Here is a 15,994-nt window from a genome sequence, read left to right as displayed (position 1 = left end):
TTTTGGTTTTCTTTAATCTCCAATAATATTTTTTTTTATACTTTCATCATTTCTTTTTATAAGATAGTTAAAAACAAAGTTTCACACAGGTGAGAAAACAGGATGTCATCTCAGAAGCTGGGATAGCAGTTGTCTTCCCACATCTGAAACATGCCTCCAACATTTTTAGCTACTTCTCTTCTAATTCAGGGAGTGGTGGCTGCATGAGTCAGGGTTACACAGAGAAACAGAACTAACAGGGTGTGTGTTTCTATAGAAAGGGAGAGAAAAAATCTAAAAATTAAAAAAAACAACAACAACAGCAAAAAGGATTCACAGAAACATTCGGGCTTGTGTTTGACCAAATATTTGAATGCCATAGCCATGTTAATACATATAATTAACCATTACAGTGACTTCTATTAGGCATTAAAGAAATATGCTTAGCATTTTAGAATAAGTTAATTCCTTTGCTAAAAACATGCAAACTAATCTTACTTTAATTGCTTGTGGAAAAGGAATTATAAACTATTTATCTTTAACCAAAGTTAAATTTCTTGCTGGTCAGGTCTTTCCTCTGACCAACTGTGGACTTCACTTGAGTCATTTGACTTTGTGACTGAGCTTGCTGACCACTGGAGCAGGTCTTGCTAAATGCGGCTTTAACAAAAATTGCTACCCCAGGTCAATGGAGTTCATTTACGACTCTTTACACACCTTTGAAGAAATGGGCTATGAGCATATAAATGTGATTATTATAAGAGATTTAATACTTCCATTAAGACAGAAACAGATATTTCTAAATTTCTTCTTTGGACATTCAAATTAAAATCATTTCTGAGCTAGCTGAAATGTTGTATTGGGAATAATTACTAAAGTTTTCTGCAGCCAGGCACTCATATACTCTCATAATTACTGCCATTTTCCTGGCAAACATTCCTAGCAGAAATTGAAAAAACTTCACAGGACAAGATTTATTAATAAGCAGTAAGCTTCAGAAATGCTATATCTAAAATGTGCCCCTTTTTCAGACTTAGAGAATAATTAGTGTAAAAAACGTGAAATCTTCAAAGTTCAAACTTTTGTGTCATTGATTGTAAAAATGTAGTACTTAAGGCTAGTTGTCATAGTCTATCTAGTGACATTATTCATTTTAGCATATATACAACCCTACGTTTCTGCATATTACAAAAGTGGCTAGAAGAATTTTCTGAATAATTCTAATAAAACAGATACTTTTTTTTTTTTTTGCAAATTTCTCCAAGTACCTAGAAAGGTGCAGGAAGACAAATACAGAATCCACATTTTCTATGTAATTACTCTAGTTCTTTTTGTAAATAAAACCCAGTTTCCTTTCATAGATAATAAATGCAGATATAAACTTTTATTTCCCTATGGTGAGAATTTTATACCTAATTCTTAAACAAACATTCATAAGGAGCTTATATTTATTTGAAGGCCACTACAATTTGGTTTTATGGAGAAGACAGTGAAAAATTAATTACTTACTTTATACTTTATTTTGTACGGATCTTGAGTAATTTGATTATCTGTTGATAAATGAGCTTTCCTACATCCAATGTGCCCATGAAATTTAGAAAAACATCCTTCCATTCTTACAAACACAAATAAATATATAAAATCTCCAAACTAATAAAATGCCAAGTACTTTTGATAATTTCTTTAATTTTTTTTTTTTTTTTTTTTTTTTTTTTTTTTTTTTTTTTTTTTTTTTTTTACTCCAGGCTCACATAACTGATGACAAGATGATTGTTTTCAGTCTTGGCAAACTACTTCTCCATAAAATATGTTACAGACTCCAAGACTTACACATCTTGCTCTGTGGGCTTTGTTATAACTTATCCTCTTAAACAGCATCATTATTTTCTAACTTCTCATGGTAATATTCTATATTATCCCACTCTGCAGATTTTTACATGGGCTGTCCTATGAGCATTTAATATTTCTTTCAGAATTTAGAAAGAACTTTTATTGGAAATGGAAATTATAATAAAACTTGCTAGAATATGTAAATTAAAGCTATGGAAAGAATCACAGATCTTAAACTTTATTATTTTGGAGTTGGAGAGACTGAGGCTAAGAAGATGTTTTGAAGTTTTCCATAAAGACACATATTTAGAAAATGTTCCAATTTTTTGGATCCATGTTCCAGTCCTCTTTCTACTGTTTTGCCAGAAATTAAGTAGATAGCTATTTATCAGTTACTAATCAATAATACCTTGTCATATTAAAGTCTATTTGCTCTGTTCAACCATCTGCTCTTAAAATAAGTTGGAAAGAGAATGTTGTGTGGGGAAGGATGTTAACAAAATAAGATATTTAGTGTATAAATGTGGATCTTATGTTTGAATAAGTAATTACCTTTTAAAAGAGAGCAGATCAGGGATCAAATTCTGGAGTGACAGTGTGAGGTGTTAGGCTGAACCACACTATGGTAAAGTTGGTGAAAATTACTTTTAAAATAACAACACTCTAGACCCTCTAGAAGTGGGTCTAAAGGCAAGCAGAACATGAAGAAACATTTATTCAAAAAAATCTATGAAAATTCGTTAAGAAAGGTAAGTGTCTGTGGCATTTGAAGCAAGACGGATCCCTTTTACTCCCCTCCCAACTCAGTCAGGCAGACTCCACTCCAAACTTCTGCAGCCAAGTACACAGGCTTCTCTCTTTTCTCTAGATGCCAACAAGGGGGCTTTCTTTTTTTTCTTTTGGATCAACTCTTTTTTTTCTTTTCATTTAAGTTCTGAGGTACATGTACAGAACGTGCAGGTTTGTTACATAGGTATACATGTGCCATGGTGGTTTGCTGCACCTACGAACCCGTCATCTAAGTTTTAAGCCCCACATGCATTAGGTATTTGTCCTAATGCTTTCCCTCCCCTTACCCCTCACCTCCCTATAGGCCCCAGTGTGTGATGTTCCCCTCCCTGTGTCGATGTGTTCTCATTTTTCAACTCCCACTTATGAACGAGAACATGCAATGTTTGGTTTTCTGTTCCTGTGTTAGTTTGCTGAGAATGATGGCTTCCAGCTTCATCCATGTCCCTGCAAAGGACATGAACTCATTCTTTTTTATGGCTGCATAGTGTTCTATGGTATATATGTGCCACATTTTCTTTATCCACTCTATCATTTATGGGCATTTGGGTTGGTTCCAAGTCTTTGCTATTGTAAAAAGTGCTGCAATAGTAATAGTATACTATTACTAGTTCTGTAATAGTACTATAAAGACACATGCAATATGTGTGCGTGTGTGTTTATAGTAAAATTATTTATCATCCTTTGGGTATATACCCAGTAACGGGATTGCTGGGTCAAATGGTATTTCTGGTTCTAGATACTTGAGGAATCGCCACAATGCCTTCCACAATGGATGAACTAATTTACACTCTCACCAACATTGTAAAAGCGTTCCTATTTCTCCACAGCCTCACCAGCATCTATGGTTTTCTGACTTTTTAATAATTGCCATTCTAACTGGGGTGAGATGGTATCTCATTGTGGTTTTGATTTGCATTTCTCTAATGACCACTGATGACAGGAAGAACAGAATTGTTTTCTCATCCTGTCCTAGCTGTCACTAAGACTAGGGAAAATGCAGTTGGAGGTGAGACTCCTTTCTTCTGCCAAGCTCGCATTCACTGAAAAGTGGCTCTACTTTGGGTAAAACACCCTGAGAATATAGGGTCCCGATTGTACTTACCCTGCTTGTGAGGTGTTAGTTCCATGCCAGGAAAGGGAAGTTGAGCTCACAGGTTACCATCCCCTTCTCTCCATGGACTGCACAGCCCCTAGAGCAGGAATGTCACTCAGAGAAGATTGACGTTATCTCCACCTCAACCTCATGCTGGCTCAGGATTTTTGCATTAGGCAGAGTAAAGGAAAGGGGAGAATTAGGTCCTAAAACTGTCTAATCTTTTCCAGAGGTGACTGACTTTGTTTGCAGCAGAGCATGGAGAAATTCAAACCTAAGGATACTCTCAGGAATAGTGGGGTTTGTGGTGAAAGGCAATTAGGAGACTACTTTTAGACCTAATAAAGATGTACTCTAGACTAAAGGTCCCCAACCTTTTTGGCACCAGGGACTGGTTTCATGGAAGACAATTTTTCCACAGACTGGGGCAGAGGGGAGGGTTTTGGGGTGATTCAAGTGCATTACATTCATTGTGCACTTTATTTCTATTATTATTACATACTCCTGATAGTGTAGAATCAGTGGGAGCCCTGAGCTTGTTTCCCTGCAACTAGATGGTCCCATCTAGGGGGGATGGGAGACAGTGACAGATCATTAGGGATTAGATTCTCATAAGAGGTATGCAACATAGATCCTTCATATGTGCAGTTCACATGAGATTCTCCTATAAGAATCTAATGCCACTGCTGGTCTGACAAAAGGCAGAGCTCAGCTTTACTTGGCTGCTTGCCACTCACCTTGTGCTGTGTGGCCTGGTTCATAACAGGTCACAAACTGGTTGGGGACCCATGCTCTAGACTGCAGGCTGGCTAGTTTGGAGGAGAGAACAGAATAAAACAGCTTGGAAGGGCCCTCCGGGAGTCACAACAAACATCAAAGAGACCTTAAAAGTTATTTCTTTAAAGAAGTCATGGGCCAGACACAGTGGCTCATGCCTGTGATCGCAGTGCTTCAGGAAGCTGAGGCAGGAAAATCACTTGAGGCCAGGAGTTTGACACCAGTTTGGGCAACACAGTCAGCCCCCATCTATTCAAAAGCACAAAAAAAAAAAAACTGGACACTGTGATATGTGCCTGCAGTCACAGCTAATTGAAAGGCCAAGACGGGACAATTGCTTGGGTCCAGAACATTGAGGCTGCAGTGAGCTATGATCACCTCACTGTACTCCAGCCTGGGCAAAAAAGTGGGTCTCTGACTCAAAAAAAAAAAAAAAAGTCATAATTGATTGAATTAGTTCATAGAGCAATATGCCCTGGGGTGTTTGGGAAAACAATAGAGTGGTCAGCCAGCAAATAGTAGAGTTTAACAGATAGGTGTTGTTATTGAGAGAGAGAAAGCCAGCCCTACCAATGCTACTGTCATCACAGGGTAAATGGGCATACTGAAAGCTGTATCTTCCTGAGAAGCAATATCAGAGGCTTAAGACTGGGAAAATAGACTAATGTCTATTAGTGACTAATGAAGTCACTATTATCTAAAATGTCATGTTTCCCAGAAAAAATTATGAGACATGCAAAGAAACAAAACACTATGCCTCAGTTGACAGGAAAACAAAACAATAAAAAAACATGCAACACAAACTGTGAGTTCAAGCAGATCTCAGATTTAACATAAAATACTTGAAGATAAGTAAACGTGTTCACAGAATGAAAGGAATGCATAACTGAAAAAGTAAAGTGTGGTATAATGACAATGTTTTATTAAATAGAGAGAGTAATTATAAAAAAGAACCAAGTGGAGATTCTTGAGATAAAAAGTATAGTAACAGATATTCACTCAAGGTGCTCAAGTAGATTTGAACTAGCAGGTGAAAAAATTAGCTAATTGGAAGATAGATTGAAAACTATTATGCAATCTATAAAACAGAAAACCATTTTAAAAAGGGAACAGACACTCAGAGAAATGTAGGACACCATCAAGGGTACCCATATAGATATAATTGGAGTACCAGAAAGAGAAGAGAGAGAAAATGTAGCATAAAATTTTGTGAAGAAATAGTGGAAGAAAACTTGGCATATTTATTGAAAAATAATAACTGACATATTTAGGAGACATAGTTTTCATGTATGGTAAACACAAAGAGATTTACAAATTGACATAATAAAAGTGTCAAAAGTCTAATACAAAGAGAAAATCTTGAAAGGAGCAAGAGAAAAGAAAGAAATAAACAAAAACTAAGAAAACCCTAATCACTTATAAGAGAACATCAATAAAATAGTCACTGAAATCAGCAAAAATGATACAGGCCAGAAGGCAGTGGGATAGCATATTCAAGGTGCAGCATTAAAATGCAAACAACAAAAATGAACAAACAAAAAAAGCTGTCAAGAATCCTCTATCCAAAAAATAGATCTTTAAAAAATGAAGGCGAAATAATGACTGTCTCAGGTAGACAAACACTGAGAGAAGGTATTGCTAGTCAACCTGCCTTACAAGAAATACTAAAGGAATTTCTTCAAGCTGGAAACAAGTGAGCCCAGACAGTAATTCAAAAATTCAAATCCACATGAAAAAGCACCACTATGTAATAAAAAAGTATAAGTACATATTTTCTCCTTTCTTTGTATAACCCATTTAAAAACTAACTGTATAAAAGCATATTTATGCTTTTATACATAAAATGTAATGTTGGATCTACATCATAGAGAAATATAATATGCGTATACTATGTTTACCAAAAACAGCACAAGAGAGGTTGGTAGTAGCAATTCTAAGGTGAGTGGAATAAGAAAATGACTATAGATGGTTAAGTTATAATTATAACCATGTATTGTTTATTACATTTAGAGATACAATGTGTATAATAGTAACACCACAATAAGGGGAAAATGGAATAGAACTATGTAAAGATAACATTTCTCTGTCAGTAGAGTTAAACTAATATAAATCTGAAGTTCATTCTGATAAGGTATGATAAATGTAGTAAACCCTAGGGCAATTGCTAAAAAATAAATTTTAAAATATAGAGAAAAAATTTTTAATGAAATTAAAATCTACATTAGAAAATATTGACTTAATGTAAAATAAAAGAGAAAAAGAGAAACAAAAAGATGTGAGACAGCAAAAATATTAAAATGGCAGATGTAAATCTAACTGTATAAAAAAATAAATGTAAATGGGTCAAACAATACAATCAAAAGACAGAGATTATTAGACTGAATTTAAAAATATGACCCAACTCTATGCTGTTGACAAGACACATACTTTTCTATTTATATAAAAGATACAAATAGATTGAAAGTAAAGTAGATCAGGCCATTGCTAAATCATTCCTTAGGGCTACCTTTAGAATCAAAGCTCATTCATTACTATGCTTCTGTGTGTGCAGGTATATTCTCAGTGTTGTAGAAAATATAAGGATAAATAGTCAATATTTATATCTAAAAAAGCTTATGGTATATAGATAACTGAAAAATTAACCTAATAGTTCTACTGAAAATAGAATCAGATTAGTACCCTAAATTTAAAAGAGATGGATTCAGAAGAGGGAGAATTAGAAAGATTAGGAAAGGATGCTGAAGGAGGTGGCACTTAAGAGGGGGATAGAATTATGATGTGTACATATGAAGAGCACTCAAAGGATAAGAAAGGACACAAACATGTAGAATTTATAGTTGTTGAGCCCACCAAAGACTCTGAAGATGTTCTGGCAGAAAAGTTATTCTACTTTTATCGGTCCTTTAGGAATATCAATCTACATGAAAATATACTAAAAAGAAAATCATGTTCTGTTTCATTTTATGTACATAGTTAAAGTAAGAGAAAGGCACCCTGCAACAAGATTGAAGTGTCTTTTGTTTATTTTTATTTTTGTCCCCCTCTGAGAGTGCCACCTCTTTAAATTTTTACGTCTTTGTAGAGAGGTTGGTGATACCTAGGTGGGCTCCTGCCTAACTTAGAAATTAGAAATTGCCAATGTAATTACATATTTTGACTTTAACCATCTTTCTTTTAAGAACTAGCATGGCTTTAACCATCTTTCTTTTAACAACTAGCATATATATATATATATATATATATAGTATTTGTATATATATATATAGTATTTGTATATATATATATAGTATTTGTATATATATAGTATTTGTGTATATATATAGTATTTGTGTATATATATAGTATTTGTGTATATATATATAGTATTTATATATATATATATACACACACACACACGCACATACACACAGGTTTGGGTGTAATGGCTCATGCTTGTAATCACAGCACTTTGGGAGGCCAAGCTGGGTGGATCACTTGAGGTCAGTCAGGAGTTCGAGACCAGCCTGGCCAACATGATGAAACCCTGTCTCTACTGAAAATACAAAAAAAAATAGCCTGGTGTGGTGAGAGGCATCTATAGTCTCAGCTCCTTGGGAGGCAGAGGCAGGAGAATTGCTTGAACCTGGGAGGCGGAGGTTGCAGTGAGCTGGTGTCGTGCCACTGTACTCCAGCTCCAGCCTAGGTGACAGAGTGAAATTCCGTCTTAAAAAAAAAAAAGCATATACAGGAGAGGAGTGGTTTAGGTTAATAATAATTCTGTGTATAGCACACAAAAAATACCTAGCATAAAAATTTTCTACTTTTCTAATAAACGAAATAAGTATTTTTCCATTGCAAAGTAACCTACTGACTCATATCCTTAAAAAGAAAATTTTCACTTTAAAAATGATGATTCCATGCTCTCAAAACCTGATTCATGCAGTAAGTTTTAAGGACATTATCTATGGTATAAAGTGAGATTATCTTGCATTTTTCTCCTTAGAAATACGTGCTTTAATACTTACAGGCATTCACTGGTCAGCAACTTATTTTTCTTTACAGATAGTAAAAACCGATCAATATTAACAGTGCTAGAAAAAAGTTGACTTTTTGATAGATAAGTATACTATCTAGATCTAAAACTTCCCAGTTTTCCCTCTGGTTGTGGAGATGAAACACTCTGCCGCAGTGAAAGCATGTGTGAGACAGGTCAAAACATTGAGAAAGTTTAGTCTTCTGCTCCTTGCAGAGCGGGACAGTTCTTTTTCATGAGCCTCATGCCCTTCCTTTTTTGTAGCAGTTGTTTCTTTATGATTTGTTGTAACAACTCTTAAAAACTGGCTAATAGGGATAATACCACAAATTATTGCCTTAATGAAGAATTGGCAGTATTTGAAAGACTGAGATGCTTACAAAGAACAGATGGATCTTCCCATGAATTTTAGGTTCCTGATTTCAAAATTAGGATTATTGCCTTTGTTAGTAGTAGGCAAATTAGACATGCTCTGCTAATTGATGTGTTCACACTTTGAAGATTACTTTTTAATATTCTTTTTTTTTTTTTTTTTGAGATGGAGTCTCGCTCAGTCACCCAGGCTAGAGTGCAGTGGCATGATCTTGGCTCACTGCAACCTCCGCCTCCTGGGTTCAAGCGATTCTCCTGCCTCAGCCTCCTGAGTAGCTGAGATTGCAGGCACGCGCCACCACACCTGGCTAATTTTTGTATTTTTAGTAGAGATGGGGTTTCACCATGTTGGCCAGGCTGGTCTCGATCTCTTGACCTCTTGATCCGCCCGCCTCAGCCTCCCAAAGTGTTGGGATTATAGGCATGAACCACCGCGACCGGCGGTATTCTGTCTTAAAGGTATATATTCTGTGAGTCTTCCTATTACCCACAGTATCAAGTATTTTGGACGCTTTGAAAGAGTAAACTGATGGACTAATAATAAGGAGTAATTCAAGTGTAGTTTAAAATTATGAACAAAACCCTGCTCCATGTTCAAATCCTCACTCCATGTTTGTTAAGTCTGGGGGAGAGGGAGGGGGCCTGGGTCAAGGGAAATGAGAGAAGAAGTCCTGAAGCTGTACTTAGGATTGTTGCCTCCTCCTGCTGTCCCCTTTCCCTGGTCTGTTAGGAGACCATACTGGCTTCAACTGGAACAAGCTAGTCTTACAGGCTTACTTTCCTTCTAACACAACCTCCTCCAGTAGCCTTCAAGCTCTCATGCCAATACACTTCCTTTGATGAATACATGTCCAAGTGTCCAGGGCCCACACTGAATGACCAAGGTGATCTCACCTAAAAACAGGACAAGCAGAGAGGCTGGGCATGGTGACTCATGCCTGTAATCCCAGCACTTTGGGAGGCTGAGGCAGGCAGATAGCTTGAGCCCAGGAGTTCAAAGCAAGCCTGGGCAACATGGTGAGACCTCATCTCTACAAAACAAAACAAAAAAAAACAATGAAATAAATTAGCCAGGCCTGATGGCACGTGCCTATAGTCCCAACTACTCGGGAGACTAAGGTAGGAGGAATTGAGCCTGGGAGATCGAGGCTGCAGTGACCTGTAATTGATTGTGCTGCTGCACTCTAGCCTGAGTGGCAGGGTGATACCCTGTCTTAAAAATAAAAATAAAAAATAAAAAAAACCACAAAACATGAAAAACATAGACCAAGGTTGGCATATAACACACTTGCCTCTGAGAATTTCCCCACCTGAAAGAACCCCCAGTGAGACTCCTCTTAGAAGCCAGGCTTGATTTTCCTGGTTTCCTTTACAACCACTTCCATAGTGCTACTGCTCAGGGGCTTTACAAACCTCAACTCATGCCACTCCAGCAACTCCAGAAGGTAGCCTTTTTTGGCAACTTGTCCTATTTTTTGTTGTTCTTGGGTTCCATTTTTTTTTTTTTTTTTTTGAGACGGAGTCTTGCTCTGTAGCTCAGGCAGGAGTACAGTGGCACGATCCCTGCTCACTGCAAGCTCTGCCTCCTGAGTTCACACCATTCTCCTGCCTCACTCAGCCTCCTGAGTAGCTGGGACTACAGGCGTCCGCCACCATGCCCGGCTAATTTTTTTGTATTTTCAGTAGAGACAGGGTTTCACCATGTTAGCCAGGATGGTCTCAATCTCCTGATCTCGTGATCCACCCGCCTTGGCCTCCCAAAGTGCTGGGATTACAGGCGTGAGCCACTGCGCCTGGCCTCTTGGGTTCAATTTTTTAATCTAGAAGTTTATATAATTAATTCAAAAACAATTCCATGAGCAGTTAGAAACGTTTTCTTATTTCTTGTGATGGAATGACTGACCAAAGACTTGATTATGTGGTAACATGGCATTGGATTCCTTGGCATCTCCAGGCTCACTCCATTTATTTTATGTGATTCACATAGAAACACTTAAAAGGAGCAAGGCGTTGTTAATTGATTGTTTCCTACAGATTAGGGCACACGAGCTCTGAGAGTTCAAGTGGTTCCTTCATGTCGCTCTGTTTTTATCATAAGCAGTGAGAAGATAGCATATGCTCATCTGTACATCGTTTCAGAATTAATTTTGAGATAAAAATAAGTGTTCATTAGTTGTTTTAACCAGGACCAAAAATGTATTTTTAAATGTCAGCTATCTTCTCCTTCACAGGACGCTTATTTTTTTCTTTAAAGAAATTTCAAATTTACCTCAGAGTATTTAGGGCAGCTGTAGGTGGGCCTCTTGCTTCTATTTTTTACTGGTGCACATTATCACCTGTGAAAGCAAGCAGAAAATATAGAACACCGAAATGGAGCAAAATGAGTGACAGACACTGAACAATTCTTGTACAACATGGGGATATTTTTGCTGCCGACTTTTAAAACAGTATTTTTCCTCCAGGTAAAATGAAGGGCATTCTCCCAAGGCACCGTAAACACTTTGGAAAACAAAAAGAGAAAAAAAAGGAAATGCAATTGCCTTCCTTTCAACTCCTTGGCCTGCGAGGAATGTCTCAGCACGTCATCACTGTAACACTTTTATTTTCAGATTCTGAGTCAGATTCTGAGATCAGCACCAAAGCATACTTGCACATCATAAATAAAGAGCTCCCTGTCTCTTCAGTGCCTCGTATATGCCCAGCAAAGTTCCAGATGCCTTAGACACACATCTCAATGGTACAGTATCTACTTTGCAAAACAGGAAAAGGAAAGGAAGCTTACAGAAGTTCCTCTACATCTTTAAGGACAGACAGCTAGGAAGCATTGATTTACTTAATTTCATAATGTTAATGCTAATGAACATACTTCACTATGTTTCCATGTTATAGCTGAGGAATCCATGTCAGGGAATTCAAGTGGCTTTTTAAATGCTCCCATTTGAAGCAAAGGCAGAGTCAACCAATGCATTGTGTCCTGCTGCTGCAAGAGGGGCTCTTTGAAGCTTTGCTACTCAGAAAGTGGTCCAGACTGGCAGCGCGGCCATCACCTGAGACTGTGTCACAAATGCAATGTACCGCCCCACTTGCTGAATCAGACTGTGCATTTTAACAGCCTCCTCCCCACCGAATGACTCCTGTCATTAACGCTTGAGAGGCACTGCATTAATGCTTGAGAAGCACTGCATTCATCACTCTGCCCCACTCAAATAGACAACTTGGAAACACATTGAATATTTCAGTGTTTTTAAGGCAGCTGATGACTGTTTTCAGCAGGAGCCACCTGCATTTTCCAAAAACCACCTGGGATTGATAGAGGGCCCTTCTCTGAATCCCTGGCCACAGTCCTGCCTGCTTCAATCCTCAATCTTGACACCAGTCACCCCACATAGGGAATCTGTGGGTCCAAGCAGGAATGAATGGCTAAGTTTTCTTTCTAATTTAACCTACCCACGTGAAACAGCACTAACCTTTATATGCTATTGCTGGTTCCACTGTGGAGAAGCTGATCATTCACTCTTCCAGGAGAAGCTCCCAAAAGGCTCTTGAGTTACAAGGGAATCTGTTGTCTCCTAGATCCAGATGAATGAGCCTGCCTGCCACTTCTTCCTTTGTGCTGAGCACCTGGGAATTTGCTGAACGGTGTGTTTACTGGAAGGCTTCATTATTTTGATCCCATTATCTCTACATATGCTTGTTATCTTCTGGATAAAACCTGATTGCAAGCCTGTCTTCTGTGTTTGCTCTTTTTCCTGTCATTTTCTGAAATGTATATGTAATATAATGTGCAAGTAGGAGTGAGCGTGCCCCTCCGCCCCCGATTTTGGGGTCAAAATGATGGAGAAGCCTTTGTGCTATGTGTGGGAATGCTAACGGGTATCTTCATAGGGAACCTGCAGCAAAAAGTAGCATGTGAACGTTGGTCTTGTGCACAGTGGAGATCAGATTACAATATTTTACAGCTTGGGAGGATTTTTAGACATTTGTCATAACCACTTTTGGTAGTCTTTCCTAATTATGGCAATGGAAACATAGTGCCATTTACAATTCTGTATGGTAGAGAGCTTTTCTTTTTATGCTTGGTAACACAGAAATAACTTGGGGCTGGTCCTTTTAAGAAATATCCAAGATTCAATTAGGAAACAATATTTAGTTGGTGCCCACTATGCACCAGGCAATGTATATGATTCTAGAATTCAGCAACGAACAAGACAGACAAAACACCCTGCCCTGGTCAAGCTTCTATCATTGCACCTCCAGGGAACAGGAGAAAAGATGATATTTGCTGTTTTCAATAGTGGCTGAACTGGAAAATAATATGAAAAGCTTTTCAACTTACAGAAGACTGGGCATCACTCCACAGCAATTAAATCTATATCTCTATGACTGGTACCCAGACATCAGTATTAAAAAAAAAAAGCACAAAAATAAAAAACTCCCTGTATGTCAAATGTGTCACCAGGGTTGAGAACCATCAGGCTATGTAATATGTGGGGATCCTTAACAGACCTAGAATTTTAGGAGGAAGAGCATACTGAGTAGAGTTTGTGAGCATTGAAATGAGGGTTTCATGTTCTCATGTGGTAATATTTTCATCATAAATTAAGAACTTGTAGAGCAATGGAAAAAATAAATCCAGTCTTCATCACGCTAACTGTTGAGAAATGGCTTTAGTATAATTTTATGTAGACTCTGAAATTCCTTATCACTGGATTCCATCTGGCAACTTGGATTTTGAGAAGTACTTCCTTCAGTGGAAGCTATGTTTGCCTGGAAAAAAAGATGTTGTGTTAATGTAATTAAGAATCAGCTTCCAGCTCCATCTATGTCCCTGCAAAGGACATAATCTCATTCCTTTTTGTGGCTGCATAGTATTCCATTGTGTATATGTGCCATATTTTCTTTATCCAGTCTATCATCGATGGGCATTTGGGTTAACTCCATGTCTTTGCTATTGTGAATAGTGCTGCAGTGAGCATACATGTGCATGTATCTTTGTAATAGAATGATTTATATTCCTTTGGGTATATATACAGTAATGGGATTGCAGGGTCTAATAGTTCTAGACCCTTGCAGAGTCACCACACCATCTTCCACCATGGTTGAACTAATTTATATTCCCACCAACAGTGTAAAATTGTTCCTATTTCTCTACAACCTCGCCAGCATCTGTTGTTTCTTGACTTTTTAATAATAACCATTCTGACTAGCGTGATATGGTATCTCATTGTGATTTTGATTTGTATTTATCTAAAGATCAGTGACTTTGAGCTTTTTTTCATGTTTGTTGGCCGCCTCAGCAAACTAATGCAGGAACTGAAAACAAAACACCACTTGTTCTCACTTGTAAATGGGAGCTGAACATTGAGAACACACAGACACAGGAAGGGGAACCATACACACTGGGGCCAGTTGGGAGGTGCGGTGAGGGGAGACGGAGCATTAGGAAAAATAGTTAATGCATGCTAGGCTGAATGCCTAGGTGATGGGTTGATGGGTACAGCAAATCACCGTGGCACACACTTACCTATGTAACAAACCTGCACATCCTGCAAATGTACCCCAGAACTTAAAATAAAAATAGAAATCAAAAAAAAGAAAAAGCATACAAAAACATACATTGGGAAAAGGACACTCTATTTAATAAACCAACAACCATGTAAAGACAAACCACGTGTCCCCCAAAATTATTGAAATTTTAAAAATAAATTGAAAAAAAAAACAGAATCAGTGAGCAGATCCATGGGCAAAATGACAGTTTTAACAATCTGCCACAACTGGACAATAGAGAGGAAAGAGTAGGGGAAGTTGAAAAGTAAATTAAAAGAGAAGTAGAGAAAAAGGAAAAGAGAGCTTGAAAAGTATAACAGAAGGTTGAAGACGGGGGAAAGATACAACAGAGAGCAGATGATGCCTAGCCTCAGTGTGGACCCAGACACTGCAGCCATGGGCTTCAGTGCCTGAAGGAGCAGGGGGCCCAGGACTCTGCATCCAGATCCTTTTTCCCCATGCAGCTGTGGCTTCTGTCTACTTCCTCCTTCCTGGTGCTCTGGGGAAGACAGGACTTCCTGAGTTCTGGGCTCATGCCTTTCAAGCAGAGTCAAGCGAGTCAGGCTCAATCTGTAACCAAAGCCAAATGGCTTCATTTTTGGGAAGTGCCATGAAACCTGAGCAAAGGGGACAGCTATTTTGAGACTGCTATGGCTTTAGAGATAAGGCTAATTTGTGTCAGTAGAAAGACTCCCGGGAGAGAAGGGAGGAGGAAGGGAGGAACGACACCGTTGATGCTTTGGGGCAAATCTCAGAGGAGGCAGAAAATAAACCCTTAGGAGAACCTTTTGGGACTGTAGATTTCAAACCCCCATTGCACTCAAACATTTAAGTCTCCCACCAAGAGAGACACAATCTGTACTCATTGTGTTCAGCTCTGAATAAAACTAACACAATTAAGCTCCTGGATTCCTGCCTGCTCTGGGCACTTACAACCACAGAATCTCAAAGTGATCTCAAGAAGTCACTTGCTGCAAGTATGTGAATCAGAAAGAGCACCGGTTTGGGGGACACTGTAGAGCAGAAAGCCCCTACAGGGCCAGGACTTAGGGCAGCTGAATTGTGAAGCGCTTAAAGATGGATTCAAGGCCCAAGCTGCCTCTCAGCATTATATTAACATCTTCAAATGCTCATCTATAGCTCAGAGATCTAGTCCAGTATTGTTTCTATACTATCATTTCGAATCTCTGAGTTAAATTTTCCACTCAGTAAAACAAGAGTGTCAAACCAAATGCCCCTTAGAGACTCCTGGTCTCTCAGCAGTTCTTCAGTGTGAGTTAATAGAATGGTACTTTACACATTCCTTTCTTGCATGAAACCCTTACTATAAATACCTAAGTTATAACAAGACAGGGCTGAGGTTCTGAAGAGACAAGAGGGAGTATGTGTTTCCTAACTTCCTGCAGGTTCCTAAACAACCATTTTCCCTCTGATTTTTATCTCTACTAACCTTCCTGGCATCTTCTATCTTGTCATTAATTTGCACCTGCTTTCTATGTCACACGAGCACTTTTAAATAAGTGTATGTCTCCGGGACTCCATTTCTCCTTTTTCTGTTTCATGTAATCTTCTGGCATCTTCAAATTTTTTCT

The sequence above is a fragment of the Homo sapiens genome, chromosome 2, assembly GCF_000001405.40.
Source record: "Homo sapiens chromosome 2, GRCh38.p14 Primary Assembly".
NCBI lineage: Eukaryota > Metazoa > Chordata > Mammalia > Primates > Hominidae > Homo > Homo sapiens.
The sequence above is the reverse complement of the archived record's forward strand: the minus strand, read 5'-3'. Positions refer to the sequence as shown.